The sequence below is a fragment of the Homo sapiens genome, chromosome 16 (genome assembly GCF_000001405.40).
Source record: "Homo sapiens chromosome 16, GRCh38.p14 Primary Assembly".
NCBI lineage: Eukaryota > Metazoa > Chordata > Mammalia > Primates > Hominidae > Homo > Homo sapiens.
Window position 1 is genome coordinate 9,433,284 of NC_000016.10, and position 25,734 is coordinate 9,459,017.

The 25,734-nt window shown below is 43.0% G+C and overlaps 2 long non-coding RNA genes across 2 annotated transcripts; both read right to left on the reverse strand.

Moving 5' to 3' along the window:
* Nucleotides 1–8,010: 8,010 nt before the first annotated feature.
* Nucleotides 8,011–11,702, reverse strand: LINC01177 (long intergenic non-protein coding RNA 1177). The gene is made up of 4 exons (NR_126397.1): nucleotides 11,650–11,702; nucleotides 10,702–10,869; nucleotides 9,221–9,311; nucleotides 8,011–8,234 (listed from the first exon to the last, which is right to left on the reverse strand). It is a non-coding gene; the product is annotated as a long intergenic non-protein coding RNA 1177 (long non-coding RNA).
* Nucleotides 11,703–12,729: 1,027 nt separating this feature from the next.
* Nucleotides 12,730–22,222, reverse strand: LINC01195 (long intergenic non-protein coding RNA 1195). Its single transcript, NR_126349.1, has 5 exons — nucleotides 22,129–22,222; nucleotides 16,437–16,541; nucleotides 14,626–14,759; nucleotides 12,888–12,946; nucleotides 12,730–12,785 (listed from the first exon to the last, which is right to left on the reverse strand). It is a non-coding gene; the product is annotated as a long intergenic non-protein coding RNA 1195 (long non-coding RNA).
* Nucleotides 22,223–25,734: the final 3,512 nt, after the last annotated feature.

A 25,734-nucleotide genomic window follows, 5' to 3' on the forward strand; every position in this document is an offset into this window, starting at 1 on the left:
GCATAGAATATCATTCTCTATCCCTTTATTTTTAGTCTATGTGTGTCATTACAGATGAAGTGAGTTTCTTTTAGGCAGCATATTGTTGGGTCTTTAAAAAAATCCATTCAGCCAATCCATATCTTTTAATTGGGGAATTTACTTTATTTACATTTAAGGTTGTTATTGATGGGTGAAGATGTACTCCTGTCATTTTGTCGATTGTTTTCTGGTTGTTTTGTATATCCCTTGTTCCTTTCTTCCTCTTTTTGTTTGTGGTTTGGTGGTTTTTTTTGTAGGGATAAGGTTTTATTCCTTTCCCTTTTGCATTTGTGTATCTGCTCTACCAGTGAGTTGTATACTTTCATATGTCTTCATTATGGTAGCTATGACTGGCCTTTTGCTTCCAGAGGTAGTACTTCTTTAAGCACTTCTTGTAAGGCTGATCTACTGGTGATGAATTCTTCATTTAATTTAACCAAGGAGGTAAAAGATCTCTGAAATGAAAATTATAAAATTCTGATAAAAGAAACTGAAAAGGACACAAAAAATTAGAAAGACATCAAAAGTTCATGAATTGGAGGAATAAATATTGTTAAAATGAATACACTACCTAAGGCAATCTACAGATTCAATGCAATTCCTATTAAAATACCAATAACATTTTTCATAGAAATAGAAAAAAAATCCTAAGATTTATATGGGATCACAAAAGACCCTGAATAGCCAAGCAATCCTAAGCAAAAAGTACAAAGCTGGAAGCATTACACTATGTGACCTCAAAATACAGTACAACCGTATAACCAAAACGGCATAGTAATGGCATTAAAAACAGATACATAGACTAATGGCAACAGAATATAGTATCTAGAAATAAATCCATATATTTATAGCCAACTGATTTGCAACAAGGCACCAAGAATGTACACTTGGTGGAGAAAGGACAGTCTCCTTAGTGAATGATTCTGGGAAAATTAGATATCCATCTGCAGAAGAATGAAACTAGACCCCTATCTCTCACCATACACAAAAATCAACCCAAATGGATAAAAGACTTAAATATAAGACCTGAAACTGTGAAACCACAAGAGGAAAATGCAGGGAAATGTTTCTGAACATTGTACTGGCAGAGATTTCATGGTCAAAACCTCAAAGGCATGTAAAACAAAATAAAAAATAGACAAGTGAATTTATATCGAACTAAAAAGCTTCTGCACAGCAAAGGAAACAACAGAGTAAAGGGACAACCTACACATGGGGAGAAAGTATTTGCTAACTGTTCATTTGACAAGCGAGTAATACCCAGAATATACCAAAAAACTCAATCAGTTGTATCCAGAATGTACAAAAAAACTCAGTCCAATGGTAAAAAAAAAAAAAAATCTGATTAAAAATGAGCAAATAATCTGAATAAACACTTCTCAAAAGAAGACATAAAAATGGCCAAGAAGCACATAAAGATGCTCAAGATCACTAATCATCAGGGAAATGCAAATCAAAACCACACAGAGATATCATCTCACTCCAGTTAGAACGGTGATTATAAAAAAGACAAAAACAAATAAGCAAACAAGTGCTGGTAAGAATGTAGAGTAAAGGGAACTCTTATGCACTCTGGTGGGAATGTAAATTAGTACACCCATTATGGTAAATAGCGCAGTGGTTTTTCAAAGAACTGAAAACAGAATTGTCTTATGATTCAGCAGTGCCTTTACTGGGTATTTATCTAAAGGAAAGGAAATCACAATGTCAAAGAAATATCTGTACTCCCAAGTTTATAGCAGCACTATTCACAATAGCCAAGGTAAGAAATCAACCTAAGTGTCGATCAACAGATGAATGGATAAAGAAACTGTGCTATATATACACAATGGAATACTATTCAGCTATAAAAAGAATGAAATCCTGCATTTGTGGCAACATGGATGAGCCTAGAGGACGTTATAAGTGAAATAAGCCAGGCACAGGAAGATAAATATTGTATGCTCTCTCATTCATGCAGTGGAAGCTAAATAAGTTGATCACATAGATGTTGAGAGTAGAATAGTGGTAACTAGAAGAGTGGGGGAAAGGAGGAATAGAGAAAGGTGGGTTAATAAATACAAAATTACAGCTAGATATGAGGGAATAAGTTCTAGTGTTCCATAGAACTATAGGGTAACTATAGTTCAGGGGATCAGGGCAGAGCATCAGAAGGTGAGCATGGCTGGTGGGAGTTGGGCGAGCAGGGGGCAGCCCCTGGAGCTCAGGGGACCAGGGCAGAGCAGTCGCAGGTGAGCACGGGTTGGTGGGAGGTAGAACGAGTAGGGGGCAGCTCCTGGAGCTCAGGGAACAGGGGAGAACATCAGAAGATGAGAAGGGCCGGTGGGAGTTAACAACTAACTCCATATTTTCAAAGCGCTAGAAGAGAGGATTTTAAATGTCCACAGCACAAAAAAATGATAATTATTTGAGGTGGTGGATATGCTCATTACCAGAATTTGATCATCATACATTGTATACAGGTATTGAAATATCACGTTGTAACCCACAAATATGTACAATTACTACGTGTTAATTAAAAATTTAAAAAGCATATGGAGAGTGTTTCTTATGTAAGACCTATGGAGAGTGTTTCTTATGTAAGATCAAACAGACCATCATCCCAAATGGATTACATGTGGTACTAGATAGCTTGATACAGAAGGTAATTCCTTTCCAGGAGAGTTGAGGGAGTCAGTCACTGGGGGTGGAAGTGGAGGAGGGAGAGATCAGGGCAAAAAAAAAAAAAAAAAAAAAAAAAAAAGAGAGGAGGAAGTGGGCAGTTAATAAAGGAGAGAAGAAGGGAAGTGGAGAAAGAAAAGTTCAGTGAATTCCATAGGAGGGAGTAGTTTCTCCCAGACCTGGAGCAAGGTGGCATTTACTGTGTTAGTGCATCACTGAGTAACATAAGTGCTGTACTCAGAGGGCACAGGTGCAGACACACCTACAACACTTGGATGCATCTCGATCTGTTACTGCTCCCTGTTTCTGTCATTTGCACTGGAGTCCGAGGGGCGGAAGTTTCTGGAATACTCATATTAAGAATAACTCAGCATTTGTTCATCCGGCTTACAATGACCTCATAAGAAATCAGTGAGGTCATCATGTTGTCCCTTCTCCCACTGAAAGGAGTTAGCCGGCTTGCTTTAGGCAGACAGTAAGGAAAGGGTCCCCAGAGAACCTCTGACCCACCCACAAGTGCTTACACCGGATTTTGTGCAGATAGGGAACATGCAAAGGGGATTTGCATAAACATACCTGCAGTGGAAAATTCCATTCCTTAACACATGTGCAGTAAGGAAAATAAATCAGCATGGAGTGGCTGAGTTTAAGGGCCCACAAATGCACTCGGAGGATGGGGTGGAGCTGCCAGGAATTTGCACCTTAAGCCTTGGTATTCAACTGTGAAGAGGGCAACTGGCAACTGCTTTCAGGACCCCTCTCTTTGCTGAGAGCTTTCCTTTTGCTTAATAAATTCTACTCCACTCACTCTCTGGGGTTCAGGTGCCTGATTCTTCCTGGTCATGAGACAAGAACTCAGACCTAGCTGAGCTAAGGAGCAAAAGTCCTGTATCACCACTAGTGTCCGTCACTCAAAGAGAGAAAAATTAACTTTGTTCAAGGGTGCGTTAGAGGGTGTGGGGACTGGGGAAATGTTGGTCAAAGGACACAAAATTTCAGTTAGGAAATAATTTCAAGAGATCTAGTGTACATTACAGTGACTGCAGTTAACAATATATTGTATACTTAAAAATTGCTGAGAGTAGATTTTAAGTGTTCTCATCACAGAAATAATGTGCGTTATGTGAGGTAATGCATATGTTAAGTAGCTTAATTTAGTCATTTCACAATATATACACATATCAAAACATCATGTTGTATACCATAAATATATACACTTTTTACTTGTCAATTAAAAAAGAGAGAGAACACACAGCCACTCAGTTCTGGCTCAACTCCTGTGACAGACATCACTAATCAATCATGGCACTACCTGATCCAACCCTTGATTCAGGCAGTCACGACTAATCAGATGCAGATGAAAGCTATTTGCTACTGGGCAAAGAATAAGACCATGCTGCCCCGGGTGGTATTTCAAGCCATACCCAGCATTATGTAACTCTCTCTCCATCATGGCCATTAATCGCTGTTGTATTACTGGAAAAGGCTCCCTATCCAGACCCCAAAAGACTGTTCTTGGATCTCACGCAAGAAAGAATTTGAGGCTGTTCCATAGAGTAAAGTGAAAGCAAGTTTATTACAAAAGTAAGCAAATAAAAGAATGCCTACTCCATAGGCAGAGTAGCCCAGAGGGGTGCTGGTTGCCCATTTTTATGGTTATTTCTTGATCATATACTAAGCAAGGTGTGGATTATTCATGCCTCCCCTTTTTAGACCACGTAGGGTAACTTCCTGACGTTGCCATGGCATCTGTAAACTGTCATGGCAGTAGTGGGAGTGTAGCAGTGAGGATGACCAGATGTAACTTTCATCACCGCCTTGGTTTTGGTGGGCTTTGGCTGGCTTCTTTACTGCAACCTGTTTTGTCAGCAGGATCTTTATGACCTGTGTCTTGTCCGACCTCATGTCTCATCCTGTGACTTAGAATGCCTTAACCTCCTGGGAATGCAGCCCAGTAGGTCTCAGCCTTATTTTACCTAGCCCCTATTTAAGATGGAGTTGCTCTGGTCAAACACCTCTGACAGTTGGACCAATGACTTTATGACCCCTGATCATTTCCACCTCCCGTTCATCTCCTTCTTCTCTTATGGAACCTCGCATCACACCTGCTCTCTCAACTTTGCTGAACCCTCCTTGACCAGGAAGCCTTATTTCACATAGATCCTTTGCTCCTATAGAATTCCTTAGAGCAGGATTTCTCACCCTTGGCACTATTGATATTTTGGGCATCTAGTTCTTTGTTGTGGGAGGCAGACCTGTGCGTTGTAGGCTGTATAGCAGCATCCCTGGTCTCTACTCACTCGAGGTGCCCTTATTCCCTTTCACAATTGTAACATCCAGAAATATCTCCAGGCACTGTCACATGTCCCCGGGGGATTAGGCAAATTTGCCTCTGCTTGAGAACCACTGCTTTAGAAGTTCTTCTTTGACCGTGATACCCCAAGCTGTTTGTGTTGTGAACATGCTTCATGACCATTGCATTTCGTAAGGCAGTAGCCAGGGCAATTGCTTGGAAGTGCTAATTAGATCAGGTCCATTCCCTGTTTAAAATCCATCAGGGGCTTCTCATGGCCCTCAGGATAAAGCTCCAAAGCTCTGCCTTGTCCTACCAGGTCTTGTTTTCTCCTCAATATTATCTTGGGCCACCTTCTCCCTGGATCACAAGAGACAGTGCCTGGGTCAGGAAATACTGGGAATTGTACTCAGGTCACAAATACCTCCTGGGGAGGTACAACAGATAGTACTACAGATGCCCTTGACCTGTGGTAGCAGATGCTGGTGGCATCTCAGTTCTCAGATGCTGATGGTTTTCTCTGACATTCTGGGGTGCTCTCTGGCCACTGGGATATCTTTGGCTTGTGCCTTGGGTAGATGAACATGCCAGAGAACTAATGCCCCAGGAGTAATGCTCAATGGATGAGGGATGGGAGTTTGGTGGATGAGTAGTCCAGCTTCCCCACCCTTGGGTGGGACAGTTCTGGGTGTGTCCCAGATGAAGCCCTACTTGCCCAATGGCAACCCATGTGTGAATGCACCCTCTGTTGGCTTTCCCATTTCCCCGTCTCATGTCTCACTTTCCCACTGGTGCTAACTGAGATCATCCTCCAACTAAAGGACTTGCACCCAGGTTCTGTCTCAGGCTTAAATCATGTTCTCATAGTTGAAGGGCAACCAATGGCTGGGATGAATGTAATGTAAACAAGACAGACAAGACAGCCCATCCTTGTGGCTTGTGAGTCATGGACCTTTGGGATTTCCAGGACTTCTGAGAATGGACCTGGATGGCATTCAGGCTCACAGGTGACTGGCCTGCACTGCATGGGGCTCTGTGGGAGTCTCCATTACCAAGAACCCCAGGAGATAATTTCAGAATCTGAGGCAAGCAAGTGTGGTGGTTAGTGCAGAGAATGGACTTGAATGTCTGGGTGTAAGTCCTGACTCTCTTGTGTGATTCTGAGCAAGTTACTTCTCTCACCTCGATTTTCTCCTCTGGATAATAACTATATGATTGATTTATGGTCCAGACAGAAAACTGGGAGCATGAAGGGTATGCTGATAATAATCTATGCTGAACCATGGGCACGAACCAGGATGTGTGGGAATCCCTTACTCATCTGCTAAGTGGGGATAATAATAGTGCTTTTGGAGAACCCAAATGAAGACATGTTACTTTTTGAATCTTTGCAATAATCCTATGAGACAAGTACTATTATTATCCCCATTACAGGGATGAGGAAACTGACACCAAGGGAGGTGCAATGACCAGCTCAGGCCCTAGAACGTGCTCACATCTAGACAGTGCTCTTGACCACAATGCTACAATGTGGGGGCGGGAAGGGGGCTGCACTGGTGGTACTGCCAGGTAGACGCCAGCTTTCTGAGCTCTCTGCAACGCTTGAGTGTCTGCTGTGTGCCAGCCCCTCACCTATGTCATCTCATTTATCCCTAGCACTACTCTCTGCCATCCAGGCACTGTTATGATCCCCGCCTAGCAGACCTAACTATTCAGCGCTACCCTTGCCTGCTTCAGATTCTGAAAGCATCTCCCAGTGTTCTTGCTAAAGAGGCTCTGGAAGGGCTCCATATAATGCCAGTCATTCACCTGCAAGCCCGGGAGCTGTCCTGGTTCCTTCTCAGAACTCCTGGGAATCCCCCAGATCCATTCCTCACAAGCCAAATGGATGGACTGAATCGTGTCTACATGAAGCTCAGCCATCAGTGGCCCTTTAATTATAAATGTATAAATTGAGCGTCTTTTATTTTTCAAGGCCATAAAACTATTCATTTAAAGTAGCTCCTGCTCAGCCTATCTTCACAGATAAACATAAATAAATCACACCACTTTTCCATGAATTATGCATTAAACACACATCTGTGAAACTTCCCCGTCAATGGTAGGACTTTGAACATATGGGGTTTTAATTGGACACTAAATCAATTTTCAAATCTCTGTTGATGGAATTAAAAAAATATTCCTAGCTTTATTTAAACTGTCTGTCCTTGTTACATAAGAAAAATAGGGCTGGGCATGGTGGCTCAAGCCTGTAATCCCAGCACTTTGGGAGGCCGAGGCAGGCAGATCCCCTGAGGTCAGGGGTTCAAGACCAGCCTGACCAAAATGGCAAAATTCTGTTTCTACTAAAAATACAAAAATTAGCTGGGCGTGGTGGTGGGCACCTGTAGTCCCAGCTACTCAGGAGGCTGAGGCAGGAGAATTTCTTGAGCCCAACCCGGGAGGTGGAGGTTGCAGTGAGCTGAGATCATGCCATTGCACTCCAGCCTGGGCAACAGAGTGAAACTGTCTCAGAAAAAAAAACAAAAACAAAAACAAAAAACGCTTTCTCAGACCCCTGCAATTTTGATACCTGCTGCTTTTGCTCACTTTCCATAATTCAAATCCCAGCCCAGGTACTTATGGAGAGATTAAAACAGTTCTCGTGAGCTGAGCAGCAGAATGTCCACATGGCATCAGAAAGTAAAAGGTGAAAAATGATCGGGTTACTGAGGAAATATGCACGTGTGGGCATTCACCACAGGCACCCTCTGTGTTAAGGCTCCTTGTATGTTTTAGCACCATGACCCTTTCCTGGGGATGCCCGAGAGGCAGGGAGCATTACAGGAAATCACATAGCTGGTGACAGGCTGAGCTATGTCTTGCAGCACCGTCAAACCAGGGGCCTTTTTGCTGCCTCCCCATGTGTTATCCTGTCACTGCATTTCCTCTTCTGACCTCATAGCTGCTCCCAGGTGGCCTTGAGGACTTCTCTGCACTGATAGGTGGAGTCTTCCAGTTGAGTGATTGACAGGCATTCACAGGAGAACCAGCCCTGGAACGGCCCTCATGTTTATTTCCTCATTATTTTGATTCCGAGCTTTTGCAAATTGAGGACTCAGCAGAATGAGGATTAGGCAATTTTCTTTCCTCCTGTAATGTACTTTCTCCAAATTGCTTCTTTTGAGACAATTATTTGAGGCCTTTGAATTGCTTCTGTGGGCAGGCTGAGGGAGTCAGACAGCACATCTTCATTTTCACAGGTCTTAGGGCTTTCTCCCTACAAACACAGAAAGGGAAGGCAAGGAGAAAAGGAACACCACTCCTTGGACCACAGCAAGGGTCCCCCCCATGCAAATCTTCTAAGAAACATGCATCAAGCTCCTCTGTACTCATTCATATGACACCCTCACCCTCTGAAATGAGCACTATCATTTCCTTGTCTCACTTAAGGAAACTGAGGCTCACAGAGGTGAAATAAAATTTCAGGTAACAGAGCAAGGGCTCACATCTCTCCATCCTTCACTGATGTCTCCTTCCTTTGAACTCTCAGAGTATAAATTGCCTGTCTTTTCATTTGGCACTTGCTAAAAAATGTAACCTTCTCTTTTATTTAACTGCATAGAAGAGGCAGCAGAACATAGAGAAGAAAACAATAAGCTCTAGAATTGGGGAGATGTAGGTTTGAATTCTGGTTCCACCTCCTGTTAGCTGGGAGAATCTATTAGTTATTTAGCCTCTGAGCTTGTTTCTTTTTGTTGGGGCTCAGAAACCAATACCCCCAAATACTGCGCTTTGATGTACTGAACTAAAGAAGTAGCCTCACGGTCTCTCTGACTTTCCCTCGTCCCAACTCTCCATCCTCTGTCTCTCCCAAAGCACAGGATAAAGTTGTTCTCTGAAGTTCTCTTATCTACCTAGAAACCAGACCTGCCAAAAACACAACTGTCTTCCCCAAGTTTTCACAGTCTTAACTTATATTGCAGAAGGAAAGATGGAAGTCTGTTAATACACCTGCACAGACTTTCGTCACCAGCCATTGGCTGCGCTGTGGGCCCAAGAGACTTTGTCTGAGGCCGTTGTGTGTTCTCCAACTCCATTCATTTCCCCCTAAACATCATTCACTGTCCCTCAAATTGCCACACTTCCCCCATCTCCTCTTCCCCTATGAAGAGTATATAAACATCTGTGCCCCACCGGGTTATTCGGTAATCATTCTCCTGCAATTTTCCCACACTATGCATGTTAAAATACAATTCTGCATACCTTTTCTTCTCTTAATCTGCCTTTGGTCTGTTGATTTTCAGTGAACAATCAGAGAGTAAAGGGGAAGTTTTCCTCTGCCCCCTACACTTTTCTGTAAAATGGGGGAAAAAGGAGTACTTATTTCATGGAGTTCTTTTGGGGAGGATATATTTAAAGTAGTTAGAGCAGTTCCTGCACATTGTCAGTGCCTACTAGAGCTTAGCCTGCCTTGTTTGTGTTGGCTTGAATTCCTACTTTGATATTTTTCAACAGTACCCTGAGATGCACTACAGAATCTTTCTGAGACTTGATTTCCCCAACTCTAAAAAGTGCGCTTATATTACCTACATCATAGGGCCGTGGTGAGGATTAGCAAGACAGTAACTGGGAAGTGTTTAGCACGGAGCCTAGTGCTTAGTGATTATTTAATACTGCTGTTATTGCTGTTATTGCGAATACTTAGCACTGTGCTGGGGAGGTGTACCTAGGAAACTAGCATGTATTAAAGACCGACTTTTTATTCATATTTTATCTAATCCTCACAGCAACCCAAGAGGGAAATGCTATGATTATGCCCTGTGTGTTTACAGATGATGATCTGAGGCTCAAAGAAATGAGGTAACTAATGGAAATGCAGCACTAGGAAATGATGGAGCCCAGTTTGTCCCGAGGTCTATCTGACTCTAAAGACCTTGGTCCCTGCACCTCAACACAAGGACGGGGCTTTCACAACTGGGTGAGGAAGGAGAGGAGGGAAGCAGGGAGCCCAGAAGAGCTGCAGACGAGTCAAGCAGAGGCAGCTCCTGTAGCTACACCCTCGTGTCAGCAAGGAGGACCTCAACTGCTCTGGGAAACTGCCTGATCTATGATATTTAAAATGCCTTCTTCATTTTGGGAGGCTGAGGCTAGAGGATCACCTGAGTCCAGGAGTTCAAGACCAGCTTGGGCAACATAGGGAGACCCCCCCCATCTCTACAAAAGAAATTAAAAAATTAACCAGGCATGGTGGCACATGCCTGTAGGCCCAGCTATTCAGGAAGCTGAAGAGGGAGGATCGCTTAAGGTGGGTAGGTTGACGCTGCAGTGAGCTATGATTTTGCCACTTCACTCCAGTCTGGGCAACAGAGCGAGACCCTGTCTCTAAAAAAATAATAAAATAGCCTGTAATCGCAGCAATTTGGGAGTCCAAGGTGGGCAGATCGCAAGGTCAGGAGTTCAAGACCAACCTGGCCAATATGGCGAAACTGTCTCTACTAAAAATACCAAAAAATTAGCTGGGCGTGGTGGCACATGCCTGTAATCCCAGGTACTCGGGAGGCTGAGGCAGGAGAATTGCTTGAACCCGGGAGGTGGAGGTTGCAGTGAGCGGAGATCGCACCATGGCACTCCAGGAAAAAAAAAAAAAGCTTTCTTTCTTTTAGAGTCTATAAAGATTTTTTGCAATTTCTTGACCTTTGGTGGGGTCTACAGACTCTTAGGAGCATAGCATGTAGAGGAAGTACCTGGCTTCCAAGGCTCAGCTGGAATCAGGAAGAAGGTGTTCGTTGGTGGGCTGGCCCCTGTGGAGATGTCTTTCTTCAGTGAGCACCTGCCCAATCCCCTTCCTCATTCCCTTCACACACCTGGCTTTGTGGTCACCTTTCCCTGCATGTTGGTCCGGCTTGTCCTGTCTTTCCAACATTTGAATATGAAGAGCAGGGACAAGTGAAGGGTTGAGTTCACGGCTTTGTGTGCTTTCTTTACAGTCTCTCTATAAATGAATCCATTCAGAGAGTTCTGGCAACACTGTGAGCTCTCTTTGAAGTTCCCTTGCTCAAAAGGTCTAATCACTGTCTCACTACGTCTATGCACTATGCACTTGGTTATGTAGGGGAAAAGGGCTTAATGACACACATGGGACCTCTTCTTCATACCAGGTCTTTGGTTAGCATATTTAATCCTCACAGCAACACTATGGAAGGAGGGCTTTATAATCCCCAGTTAACGGTAAGGCAATTGGGTTTTGGAGAAGCAAAGTGACATGTCCTAGGTCACACAGCTGGTAAAGAAAAGATGCATGACTAGAACCTAGGTATATATGATTCCTGACCCTGTGCCCTGGCTACCGTGCCAGCCTGGGAAATTATGGGGCTTTGAGATGAAAATAATTGACCAGACAGCCAAAAGAACATGGGGGTAGATGTCACAGCTGTCATGACCAGTGGCCTCTGGTGAATAGCATTATACAAATGTAGAAATGGTTTGCTCTGAGGCTGAGATGAGTCAAGATCTGGAGAAACAGTCTTGATCTACAGTGGTCAGTTGCCTGTGCTGGGTACTACTGAGGACAGCTGCCCAGGAATGGAGGCACTGAGTGGTGCAAAATCCGAGGATACGGGACACCAGGGGAATCCACCTTTCGGAGCCTGCCCTTTCACAAAGGAGCGGCTGCGTGCTCCCAGCCCACTTACCAGGCTGTGTCATGCTGAAGTATAAGCAGCTCCGGAAATACCCCATTGTGTCTTGTCTCCGCTGGGCCTTGGCACAAGCTGGTCTTCCTTGCTGGAGGACGCCTCTCTGCCTGGCTGATTCTCATTCACCCAAGACGAAGGCTGGAGATATTTAGTATCTCCTTTGATTGGTAACTGGTTCTAGAACCTGTGATTGAGGAACAGGTAGGGGAAGGGGTAGAGATTCACTGCTTTCCTGAGAGTTCTATAAATCCTGAGTAACTTGGGATCTGATGTAGGAGGCAAACATTGTGGAGACTCAGAGTTGGGAGACGAAAGTATGGAAGTAGCTGGGGCAGCTGGGGGCTTAGGTGGCTCCACTGGAGGTGATTGTATATTATCATGTGTTTTAAGAATAAGACAAAGTTTTGAATTGTAGCTTAAAGATACAAATCTCAATCTCTGCTTTTGCTATTGATTTGAATTTAAAAAAGTAGGATGTTGGGTTTTGGTCAGAGGACTGAGTCTGCATAGGGAAACATTTTGAGATAATTCTTCTCTGTGGGCCAGAGGTCCTCCATAAAACTTTTGTAGAGGTTCCCATAGTGCTGTGGGTAAGTAGACTCCGAGGTCAGAAGACTAGGGCTGGAATCCCTGCTTCTCTGCTCATCAGCCATAAGTCCTTGGACCAGATACTTAGCTGTTCTGGACCTCAGTGACCTCTTCTCTAAAATGGGCATATTGATGCCTACCTCGTGGGATCATTACAGGAAAGAATAGAAGGCATGTTAAATGCTTAGCTTAGCGCCTAGCATTCGGTAATGTGATCATTAAATGTCAGCTTTTGTTATTTTTAATACTTTTAAAAGCTCAGGTTTTGGAATCAACACAGATACGTGTTTCAAAAAAGCATTGTCATTTGCCTGACAATGGAAGGGTAAATTAATTAAACACTCTGAGCCTCAGTCTTTCTCCTTGCAAAATAATAGCAGCAACAATGAGGAGGACAACAACCACATAACGCATCAGGATCTTGTAAATTTCAATGAAAGGTAAGGCCTGTGAAGTGATTAGAAAACTGGTAAACATTCAATACATAACTTGTATTATTTTTTCTTATTCTCTTGGTCTTACTGGTGAAGGGCCATTGTCTGCTTCTGTGAAAGTACAGAGAGTCCAGTAAATCTTTAGAAAATATGCAAGCTTGACTGGTCTGTGTTCTCAACACTGTCTGAAGAACCTGGCTGAGTCCTACTCACCCAAGACAAAGGCTGGAGATATTTGGTATCTTCCTTTGATTGGTAACTGGTTCCGGAACCTGTGATTGAGTAATACGTAGAGAAAGGGGGAGTGATTCACTGCTTTCCTGAGAGTCCTATAAATCCTGAGTAACTTGGGATCTGATGTGGGATGCTGAGAGGAGGAGGCAAGCATCGTTGAGACTCAGAGTTGGGAGGTGGAAGTATGGAAACAGCTGGGGCTTTTGGGGGCTTAAATAGCTCTGTCGGAGGGTACTGTGAGACCTGGGCCCTGAGGGGTTATGATGGCAGCAACCAAGACAACGTCTGTAAAATACAGAGCATGATCCATTTGCAGCAGGCACCTCAGCAGGGGTCCAGGGGAGCTGGGAGCGGGATCATGGTTCTGAGTGCACAAAAGGGAAGGCTGATTAGAGGAAGTTCTGCCCATTTTCCTGCTATTTCCCAGACATTCCAGGACCAAGAGTCACTTTTATTTTTATTTATTTATTTATTTATTTATTTATTTATTTATTTATTTATTTTGAAGCAGAATCTCGCTCTGTTACGCAGGCTGGAGTGCAGTGGTGCAATCTCAGCTCACTAAAACCTCTGCCTCCCAAGTTCAAGCGATTCTGCTGCCTCAGCTACCAGAGTAGAGTAGCTGGGATTACAGGTGTGCACCTCCACACCCAGGTAATTTTTGTATTTTTAGTAGAGAAGGGGTTTCATCATTTTGGCCAGGCTGGTCTTGAGCTCCTGACCTCTGGTGATCTGCCCCCCTTGGCCTCCCAAAGTAGTGTGAGATTACAGGCATGAGTCACCATGCTCAGCCAAGAGTCACTTTTAAAGGAAAGAAAAATCCTATTGGAGTAATGGAGAGTCTCATCAGGAAGAACAGAGCTTCAGCATAAATATAGACTGAGTTTCTATGGAGTTCCCTGTCATCTGTTTATGGGTGAGGGCACATGATGGGGTGAGGTTTATTTTATCTTTAAGGGGCGTGGACCCAACAGACCTGCTCTAATGCAATTATTTTTGAAATACCCTTGAGGATTTGATATTTACAGCTCAACGTCTGAAATGAGCCAAGGGTATTGATAAGACTGTGTGTGTATGTGTGTTGTGTATACTAAGTTATTTTCAATTCCTGCTCCCTCGAGCCTCTCCTTTCTTGGCAGGAGCCCTTGGAGGCCACTTGGCAGATGGCAGCTGGCCCATAGCTGCAAAGATCTGTCAGTCATGAGGCACCTCAGGGCTGGTATGTTTCACCAGGGCCCTTCTACCATCTCTGGGTGATTGGGTCCAGGAAGCTCCAGAGAAAAATTTAAAAATAAAAAACAGACTCAGGCACACTGTAGGTTCTTTAACTGAAATGTTTTCAGAAGCTGCTTAGGTGGCTTCTAGCTCAAATGGCAATAACAGTGATAATAATTGTTAGAGGACAGTGATTTTTCCCCTTTTCGTAACAGTGCCACCCCAGAATAGCAGGAAGTTCAAATACCTTGGAACTGAGTTTATTAGAGCCAAATGCATGCATTAAGGTCTGTCCCACATGAGTCTGGGAAGAATGGAAGGAAAGCCAAATTGAAACCTGCTAGGTTCAAGGGAGTAGAGCAGAACATTTCATAAACAAAATAAAATCTCACAGAATGGGATGCTCATAAGAGGGAACTGAAATCTCCAGAGGGCAGTGACTTTATAACAACAATGGTGATGATTTACTTGTTTGTTCACTCAGTACACATTCATTGAATACCTGCTTTGTGCCAGGCTCCGTTCTTGGCACTGGGATTACAAGCGTGTCCTGACCTTCACGTTCTATCAGGAGAGACAGTCTTTGAACATGATTTCACTCATACAGGTAATTACAAGGCAAAATCCATCGGTGCTCTGAGATTGACAAAGGGAAGCAAGTCAGGTAGGAGGTTGAAGGAAATGACAGTGAAGATGAAGTTTGAAAGATGAGTGTGAGCCCTGTGGGTGGGTTGGGGAGATGGGGCTAAAGGAACATTCCAGGCAGAGGAAAGAGCATGTGGAAAGACCTTGCGATGAAAGAATCTGGCTCACAGAGGAGACAGATATGCGTGGTTGAAGCAAGAGGGAAGACAAAGATCCTAGGGTGAAGCTGGAGGGGGAGAAGGAGACAATCAGGCTGCCCCTGAGGGGCATGTTGTAGATTTTGAACTTGATTTTACAAACAAAGAAAAGGTATGAAATAGGTGGGTGCAGTGGTTCATGCCTGTAATCCCAACACTTTGGAATGCTGAAGTGGGAGGACTTCAGCCAGGAGTTGAATACGAAGCCTGGGCAACATAGTGAGACTCCCATCTCTACAAAAATATTAAAAAAAAATAGCTGGGCATGGTGGTGCACACCTCTTTCCAGCTACTTGGGAGGCTGACTTGGAAGGATCACTTGAGCCCAGGAGGCCGAGGCTGCAGTGAGCCATGATTACCCCACTGCACTCCAGCCTGGGTGACAGAATAATACCCTGTCTCAAAAAAAAAAAAAAAAAAAAAAAAAGCATGAAAGATCTTTTAAAAATGGAGAGTTAACTAAAGGGGCCAATAGTGGAAGTTAGGAAACAACAATAATGGTCCTGGTGACATGGGAGACAATCTCATGAGCTGAGGGGATGATGCACAGAAGTAGACATGCTCAAGAAATATATTTTAAAATTTGTATAAATTTATGGGGTACCAGTGTAATTTTGTTATATGCCTAGATTATGTAGTGGTGAAGTCAGGGCTTTGAGAGTATCAAAAACATTTATAAGGTAAAATCCATAGGAATTTGTGAGTGAGAGAGTGTTCGGGAACAAGAGAAAGGGAGTGTCGGACATAATTGCCAGGTTTATTGTGAGATGATGATGGAAGTCATGGTTTCATTTCCTAAGACAGAAGATACAGGAAGGGAGGGGGCAGATTTGGAAGGGGAGGGCAAGAGTCCAGCTTTTGTCAGATTGAGTTTGAGGCTTCTGAGAGACACCCAAATGTAGATTCCAGGAGAGGAGTTTTTTCCAAAACATGGAGAAGTCATGTTCAAAATATCTTGACTGAAAATGCCTATGAGAACTCATCAAAATATAGCATTTTAGAGGGAATTGTTGACATCATCTGAAGGAAAGCACAGAGTGCTAGGGAAGGGTACCAGGGTTGGGGGTGGAGGAAAGATGGATTGAGGGAAACTGAGAGGGAGCACCCAGAGAAGTAAGAGAAAACCAAGAAATGAGTGTCATGGAAGCCAAGAGTAAAGTGTGCTAAAAATAGCAATAGCAGTGATTGTCATAGTAATAGTAGAAATAATAGTAATAATGGCATTAGTAGCAGTATTAGAATAGCAGTAGTAGTAGAAGAGGAGCAAGAAGAAACAGTGGTAGTAGGAGTAACAGCAGCAATAGTAGTTGTAGACATAGTGGTAGTCATAACAGCAACAGCAGTAGTGGTAGCAGTAACAGCATCAGCAGCAGCAGAAGTAACAGTGGAAGTAGTAGTAGCAACGGCAGTAATAATGTCAGTAGCTGCAGCAGCAGCAGGGGTAGGAGTAGTAAATGCTTGGAGTTATTACCTGTTTGGTGTTCTTTAGAATATAGCAGTCTGTGTTTTTTTTTTTAAGCAGATTGAGTCACGTGACCACTTCATGCAACAGAAAGTGTAAGTTGCATTGTTCCCACTTTACAGATGAGGAAATGAAGAAATAGAAATGTTAGGTAGTCTTACTGAGAGAGAAGCTAGTTAGCAACAGGACTGGAGATAGAATTCTGGTCTCCTGAGTCCTCATTAAATATCATGTTCACCATTTAGATTTACGGCATAGCATTTCAGAAGTTCCATGGTGTTTCCTACTGGAATGTAACTTCTGCAGGGCAGGGCTTTTGTCTATTCTGTCCACTGAGGGATCCTCAGTGCTTTGAGTGGTGCCTGGTGCATAGGAGGACTCACAGATTATAGGGACTCACAATGAACTAACGTTGGAAATGAATGAATGAATGAATGAAAGAACAAATCTTCCTCCCTAACTTGGGTATAACTTCAGGAATGTTTTATTGTTTTAATGGGTCTCACACCCCTGCCCAACCTTTCTCTTCCTGCGCTTGCAAACTTTATGTTGCAAATCTGTTTGGAAATATTAAAAAAATTAATCTAATAAAATAAAAAGATCTTGGCATTTTTCATATGTTCATATCATTAAAAGTCCACATCACAAGTTCCTGCTTTCACAATCAATATTCAAGAAGTAATTTAAATCTAGCTTCCTCCCCTTCCCCGATCATTCACATTCATTTGTATTAAAGGTCAACGTGGAAGTAACTTTTTTTCCTAGGCCAGCCTGCCTGGAGAGAAGAGCTTTGAAATCATGCTGTGCCAAGGAGGGGCCAGCTATAGCTCCATGAATGATTCACTATGCTCTTTAGGAATATAATATTCTGCATCCCCTCCTGTATTTATGAATGTTTAGGTATAGCAAAAAGGCAGGATCATGTAATAAAAAGAGAACAGACTTGAGAATCAGATAGACGTGAGTTAAAAACTCCATGTTCAGACCTTGGACAAGTCATCTTCTCTGGGTCTCAATTTCCCTAATCTTTTTTTTTTTTTTTTTTTTTTTTGAGACGGTGTCTCGCTCTGTCACCCAGGCTGGAGTGCGGTGGTGCAATCTCGGCTCACTGCGAGCTCCGCCTCCCGGGTTCACACCATTCTCCTGCCTCAGCCTCCCGAGTAGCTGGGATTACAGTTGCCTGCCACCACACCCGGCTAATTTTTTGTATTTTTAGTAGAGACGGGGTTTCACCGTGTTAGCCAGGATGGTCTCGATCTCCTGACCTCATGATCCACCCGCCTTGGCCTCCCAAAGTTCTGGGATTACAGGAGTGAGTCACCGAGCCCGGCCAATTTCCCTAATCTTTAAGCAGAGATGGTAACTAGTACTCACATCTCAGGCATGTGGCTGGATTTACATAGGATAAGTTAAAACCTCAAAGCTCAAATGCCAGGAGTATATTAGGTAATTCAGTCTTTGTAAGTTTCCTTTCTCCATACCTTGCAGAACCATTTACATAATGGAGGTGAAGCACCTTAGCAAGCTGTGCAGTGTTGTATCCTGTGGGGAGGTGCCTCTCTGTTTTTCTTCTCCTGGTGCTTCTTTACAAAATTCTGGGTTCCAACCATGTGGAACTACTGAGACTCCCAAATGCATTATGTTCCCCACATTCCATCTGAGTGTCACATTCTCTCCATTGTTTAAGAGCCAGCTTAAGTGCATTCCTTCAATAATCTTCCTCTATATAGCATTCCCCCTTCCATCACGTTGGTTCTCCTTTCTTCTTCGGGCTCTCCACTAAAACCACACACCACCTTCATTATTCCTTATCACTTAATAACACATATATTTGCTTATATTCCTTCCTCTCCAACAAGAGTGAGTTCACCCAGGACAGGAACTTTGATTTATCTGGGATCTCCAGTGCTTAGCATATAATTGGAATTCTAGAATTATGTCTTGAGTCAATAAATGTGATTATTATTACTATTATTATCAAATAAGAATTTTCTCTAAACTCAAGAAAAAAGAAAGCAATATCTCAGTCAAATCAATACAAAAGAAGCCTGAGTGTTATCATAAAATCCTTTGGAGAGTGGACCAGTCCTTGACCATATCCTAAGAACAATGGCGTTAAATGTAGCTATTACTTTGCCTTCTTCTGTTAAAATTACTTATTCTCTCCTAAACTATTTTGCCTATCCATATTCTCTCTGTAGACACCCAGCATTCTTAAGTGAACCAATAGGGTTTATATGGACCCCTATGGTCAACAAAATAGTCACACAGAGATAATTTTTTTTTTAAAAAGTCATAGGTTGACTGCAAAACCTAGTAAGGTGGATAATTCCACATCATAACTTTATGCCCAGTGCACTCAGAGAAATTAATCATTCCATCTTGGTCCAGCACAGTCTGGCTTTCATGTCCATCATTTCAGTAGAAGCACTCCCACCAAGCCACCAATGCCTTCCTTGTTGAAAAGAGCATGGGTACTGTCATTCTCCTTCTTTTTAAAAAAAAAAAATATTTTAGTAGTTTTTGGGGAACAGGTGGTTTTTGGTTATATGGAAAAGTTCTTTAGTGGTGATTTCTGAGATTTTGGTTCACCTCTCACCCAAGCAGTGTACACGATATCCAGTGTGTAGTCTTTTATTCCCCACCCTACTCCCTGCCTTCCCCCTGAGTCCCCAAAGTCCATCGTATCATTCTTATGCCTTTGCATCCTCATAGTTTAGCTCTCACTTATGAGAACGTATGATACTTGATTTTCCATTCCTGAATTGCTTCACTTAGAATAACAATCTCCAACTTCATCCAAGGTACTGCAAGTGTCAATATTTCGTTTATTTTTATGGTTGAGTAGTATTCCATGGTGTATATATACCGCATTTTTTTTATCCATTCATTGGTTGATGTGCATTTAGGTTGGTTCCATATTTTTGCAATTGCAAATCGTGCTGCTATAAACATGCGTGTGCAAGTGTCTTTTTTCATATGACTTATTTTCTTTTGGGTAGATACCCAGTAGTGGGATTGCTGGATTAAATGGTAGTCCTTCCTCTTTGCAGAATTTTCCAGATTTGACCATTCTTTCCTTCCTGAAGAACTCCCCATCATCTTGACTTCTGTATAGCAGTAAATTAGAGTGGTTGAGGCCATTTGATATGGAGTCAGAAAGTCTGAGAGCAACGCCTTGCACCCCTCCTACTGAGTGTGCAATCCTGAGCAAATTACTCCAGCAGTGTAAGCCTCAGTTTCTCCAACTGTAAGGAGAAGACAGGAGTTACACCCACTTCAAATAATATAAAAATAATCTTTGCAAGTCTCATTGCATAGTGACCAGCACAAAGAGCATTCCGTGAAAGCGCCATTATCAGCACATTCTCCTGGTGTTTGACTGACAGGCTTATGTTTCTCAGCCTGTTTTCCTGGCTTCCACTCTTCTGCTCTTTACTTAAAAACTGTTTCTTGGCTAGGTGTGGTGACTTTTGCCTGTAATCTTAGCACTTTGAGAGGCGGAGGTGGGAGGATTGCTTGAGAACAGGAGTTCGAGACCAGCCTAGGCAACATAGAGAGGCCTCATCTCTACTAAAAATCACAAAAATTAGCCAGGTGTGGTGGCATGCACCTGTGGTGCCAGCTACTCAGGAGGCTAAGGTGGGAGGATTGCTTGAGCCTGGGAGGTCAAGGCTGCAGTAAGCCATAATTGTGCCACTGCACTCCAGCCTGGGTGACAGAGCAAGACCTTGTCTCAGAAACACAAAAGACTGTGTTTCTCCAGGGCTCTTTCACATACCCTCTTTCGTTTTCGAGCTATGCATTCTGACTAGGAAGACTCCATAGCCTCAGGTATTATTTTTGAGCTGGAGAGTTTCCTCCTTTTGTACCTCCAGTCTCAATTTTTCTTTTGAGTGCCACACTCAAATGATGCCGTATCTCCTCTGGGATATCTCCCAGGGAACTCAGACTCACTCTGCCTCACGTTGAGTGCACAGCCTTCTCCTGAAACCCAAACTTCATTTGGCATCCACTATCTCATGATCCATTAGGTGCTCAAGCCAGAGTCTTCCTCACCTTCCCAGCCAGTTATTCATTGTGTCCTGCTGTTTTAAACTATCCACTTCGTCTGTTTCCACTGCATCCCCATCCTTCTGGTTGAGATGTCTCCAATAGCCTCCTAATTGGTCTCCCTGCTGCCATGTTTGCTCACCCCCACTTCATCACCCAGCGGGAGTGATGCTTTCACAGTGTTGGTCAGACCATGCAACTCCCCTGCCTAAATCACTGCAATAAATTCCCCTTATTCCGAGAATAAAATCTCAATTCCTTCCTTTGGCGCAGTGGATGTTGTGGTGTGCTGCCCTGACCTTCCTACAAGACTAAGACATTTATTTCCCCAGTGCCTGGGAGTGTAGGTGAAGCCGTCCCTGTGAACTTTATAGAATTAATCAGGGAAGAAAGAAAGGGAGAAACATAGTAGATGAAGTTTGCAGCACACTCAGCTTTAATCATGAGGTTAGTTTGCCCTCTGACCTGCTTCCTCATAGTTTGGTGCTTATTGTCCTGGAATCATGTAGACCCTGTTACAAGATTATAGCTCTCCTTAACTACTCTGCAGGTAACAACTTGAACATTATAAAATGTTATGTTTTCCCTTTGAGATATTCTTTCAGGTCCTACATACCAGTGAAACTACTGTTTTCAGCTGGTCTGGAGGAACCCATGAGAAGCTGATTCACCAAGGAATGCAGTTGCCATGTCCTGATGATTTCCTTCTATTTGCCCCAACCAATCAATGACCCCAAATTTCCAGCCCCTCAGCCTCCATAATCCCCTTAAAACCTCCAGCCCAGAATTCCTTGGGGAGATGGATTTGAGAGTCTCCTTCCATCTCCTTTCTTGGCACCCTGTGATCATTGAACTCTTTCTCTGCTGCAAACCCTGGTGTCTCAGTGCGTTGGTCTGTTACTATGCAGCAGGCATATATACCTTTTGGTCCATTGACTGCTGATAACTCATAGCTGACTGCCTCCCTAGAAAGAGTGTTGCCCCATCCAAGGTCATGTCTCTTCATTCTGTGCAACAACTGGTCAGAGTTGAGGCACACAAGACTGCCTCCCTTGCTTCCATTTGGAACATCTTTGAGGGTCCACCCCAGTTCCAGTGCCCCCACATAAGACCACCTGCAGCTTCTATTGTCACTGCAGTTTTCCCTACTTCCTCCCTTTGTCCAGCTTGCTTCCTTCCCATCCTTATATCTGTTGTTCTCAAAACCACTCCCCAACAAAATCCCTGCATGTGAATCTCTGCTCAGAATCTTTTCCCCTGGGAGCCTGACTCACAACATAAGTCTTACAAGGTTCTCCATGACCTGGCTCCAGCTCAATGCCCAGTACAAAGTGGATGCTCAGTGAGTACCTTGGATTGATTGGCTCATTGGCTGGTTGCTTGGTTGGTTGGGGTAAAATGCATAGAACATGAGAATTCAGGTGAAGAATATCTCTTTCACGTGGTCAGCACTGGGCATTTGTTCAGGGGGCTTCAGGGGCATGATCAGTGGACATCCAGGGTAGCAAATGGGCAATGCAGACCCCAGGCAGCTGCTGGTATCAGTAATGAAGGGTATCTGTAATCCAGGTAGCACAGGGGTGAGTAGAAAGGCCCTGCCAGTGACCTACTTTTATCGTTAATGCTTTTCTATTAGCAGAGCATTTACCTCTGAATCGATTTTCGTGTATTCTCTCTCTGCCAAACCAGGAACAAAAAGAAAAGGCAAAATTTCCGAATGTCTTTCCTCTTGCAACTGATGTAGCTGTGGCTGAATTTCACCTTTTTAAATGATTTCCTGTGGAAACAGCAAGGGAAGATTTCTGGCGGGATTTATTATGCAATTTGGTTCTAACCTGATCCCGTCAAGCAAAGAGAAATGGTAAAAAGCAAACAGAACCCCAAGCTTTGCTCACAAGCTTGGGGCCTGCTATGCTCTACCTTGTCTCTAGGCCTTTGAGTATGCTATAAAGTTCACCTATATTACCCACCCCTGCCTTATTGATGTGCATAGCTCCTGCTTGTACTTTGAGATTCATCTCAGACATGACCTTGTATAGGATGTCTTCCCCGACTCTCCTCTTCCTTCCCTACTGACTATACCAAATTGTCCTGTAACTTCTTTCTCTTTTCACATTGGCAACTAGGAAGCTCAGTGCTCAATTTACAGGCTACGAGTAACCTGTTAAACATGTATGTTGTGAACACTAATTTTTTGATTTCCTCTTATTTTGCTTACACTTATTTTTCTTTTCCTTAATTTCCTTATTAGCATAAATTTGCAATCCTGTACTGACTTCATTGTTTTTCATACAAGAAAGAAAAAACATTAGAAAGTGAAGCTTTAAAAAATGACCACGATGTATTATAATTGACCACCTACTTATCTATTTTCCCCATTGCTTTGTGAGTTTATAAGGAGAAGACAGTAATATCTTTTCATCCATCTAACTCAAATGCCTGGCACTTAGTAGGTTCTCAGAAATATTTACTGAGTGAATGGAGCAGACCTAAGGGGAGATGAGGTGAGAATGGTGATTTTGGGACTTTTTACTTTGAACCGATTACAGTATATAAGACAAAGAAGATAGAAGAACTCAAATATTTTCTACATTTCTATGCTTAAAAGATCATGGATGATTTCTTAACCAGAGACACTGAGAAAGAAAGAAGGAGCAAGACAACTAGAGGGAAATTGTCTCATTTGGGCATCGGCCCTTCAGAATTAACAGTGAATAGGCCATTTATTGAATTGGTGGGGCCTTGTCTAAATTTCTAAAATACATAAAATACTGAACATGATCCAGTAACTTTTTTTTTTTTTTTTTTTTTAGGATTAGAATACACACTTTGTGAGGCTGAGGCGGAGGCTGAGGCAGGAGAATCACTTGAGTCCAGGAGTTTGAGACTAGCCTGGGCAATATAGCAAGACCCTATCTCTACCAAAAAGAAATTAACTGGGCATAGTGGCATGTGCCTGTTGTCCCAGCTACTTGGGAGGCTGAGGTGGGAGGATCAATTGAACATAGGAGGTTGAGGCTGCAGTGAGCTGTGATCACACCATTGCACTCTTGCCTGGGCAAAAGGGCGAGACCTTGTCTCAAAAAAGAAAATCAGGGTGAATTTTTATCTTTCTCATAAAATAATAATTATTTCTGTTTATTTAGCAGAACTGTATAATGCTGTGATATTTAGATTCCTGACATTATCACAGTTAATATGAAAAATATCCCTGGGAGGAGGGTTTCATAATCCTCATTTTACAGGGGAAACATTTGAAACTCAGAGAAGTGAGGTATTTTGCTTCAAGCAATTCATCTGAGGGTGAACCAGAATTTGAATCCTTGTCAGCTGATCCCAAAACCCACTCTCTGTATTTTTTTTTTCCTGAAGTTTTTTTACAGAATGCTCTTATACTTCTGGTTGTTTTCTCTTAATTTTATTACAGGGAGGGTTCCAGAATCAGGGATATCCCCAAGGAGTAGCAGGGAAGGGATGGATTTAGAGTAGGGGTCCTCAGTGGGACAAGTTTGTCTCCACAGGACATTTGTCAATATCTGGAGATAGTTTTGATGGCCAGAACTGGTGTGTAGCGGGGGCAGGGGCAGTGTATGCACTACTGGTATTTAGTGAGTGGAAGTAAAAAAATGCTCCTGAACATCTTACAACACACAGGACAGCCCCCACAATAACAAGTTCTCTGGCCCCATGTCAACAATGCTGAGGTTGAGTGCTGAACTCTGACTTAGAGATATTTCTTACCTTTCCTGACCCAGGAGCAGCCTCTCCTCTGCTGTCCTGACCTGTGTTTGCAGAGAAAATTGGACAAAGCCTAGGGGAACTGCCTCTGCTTTCTAGCTGTCTAGCTCACGTACTTTCTATTTCTGCTTCCTGAGAGAAGTCAGTGAAGATGGTGACAAAGATGAGTGAAAACATAGAGAAGTTTGTCTGAGGAAATGCAGGATTCACTGGGAGTTTTTTCAAACTATCCCATTACTAACCCATTTCTTCCTGTTATCTCAAAATGGAGGGAAAGATATAAACCACATTTATTGCTATGGACTCGGTTGCATTTGAGTTGGGAAGAGATCATTTTTCATGTGTAGCTCTTGGGGAAAAGCCTGGCTTGGAATTCCTGCCAACTTGGAGATATATGGACAAAATTACTAAGAAATAAAATGGGACAGTCCATAATTAATCATTGTGTAAGGGCTGGAAAGGTTAACTTTGCCTGATATTCTTCAATTCTGTCCCCACATTTTGATGCACCAATGACTTCCTAAACAAGTGTTAATTCAATTTTATGTGCCAGGCATTACGCTTAGGGCTTTGTGAGTGTAATTCCAATTAATCTGAATGGCAAATGAAGTAGGTACCATCATTAACTTCATTTTGCAGGTGAGGAGACTGAACCCTTCCCAAGGTCACCCAGACACTAAGGTGCAGAGCCAAGACTTGATCCCAGTTCTGACTAACTCCAGTGACTAAGCTCTTAACTGGCTGTCTAAAGGCTGATTTTGGCCCTTAAATGTGTTTGTTGACCTCTACAGTATTTTTAAAAAGTTGGCCAGGTGCAGTGGCTCATGCCTGTAATCCTATCACTTTGGGAGGCCAAGGTGGGAGGGTCACTTGAGCCCAGGAGTACAAGGACATCTTGGGCAACATAGCAAACATAGCAAGACCCTGTCTCTATAATAAATAAATAAATCAATCAACAAACAAATATTTATTAGCCAAGGATGGTGGTGCACGTCTGTGGTCCCAGTTATTTGGGAGGCTGAGGTAGGAGGATTGCTCTAGCTGGGGAGATTGAGGCTGCAGTGAGCTGTGATCTCGCCACTGCACTCCAGCCCAACAGACAGAGTGAGACCCTGTCTCAAAAAAAAAAAAAGAAAAAAAAGAAAAATTATTTGCCAATAGTTGAAAAATTGAAGATTTTACAGAAATCTCATCTTCTAAGTCATCCTGTAAAATAAGACTACTGGGAACACTGCACACCTCTATCTGGCAACAATCAGCTGGCACTGAGAAGTACTGCTCTTTTCAGATAGTGCTGTCATTCATCCAGGTAATCTGCTTGGGCGGTGTGGGTACCCGAGATTTTGGTCTTTGGTTCAAACCACTCTGGCATGTGAGTGGGTTGAGAGAGGAGAGAACAATACTTGCATGTGTTATGAGCATGATTTCCTTTCAATCCTCTCCTCTTGGGCAATATGACCCAATCAGTGTCCTTGAACTTGACCAACTCCTCCTTGAGCCAGAAGGATGGGACGCT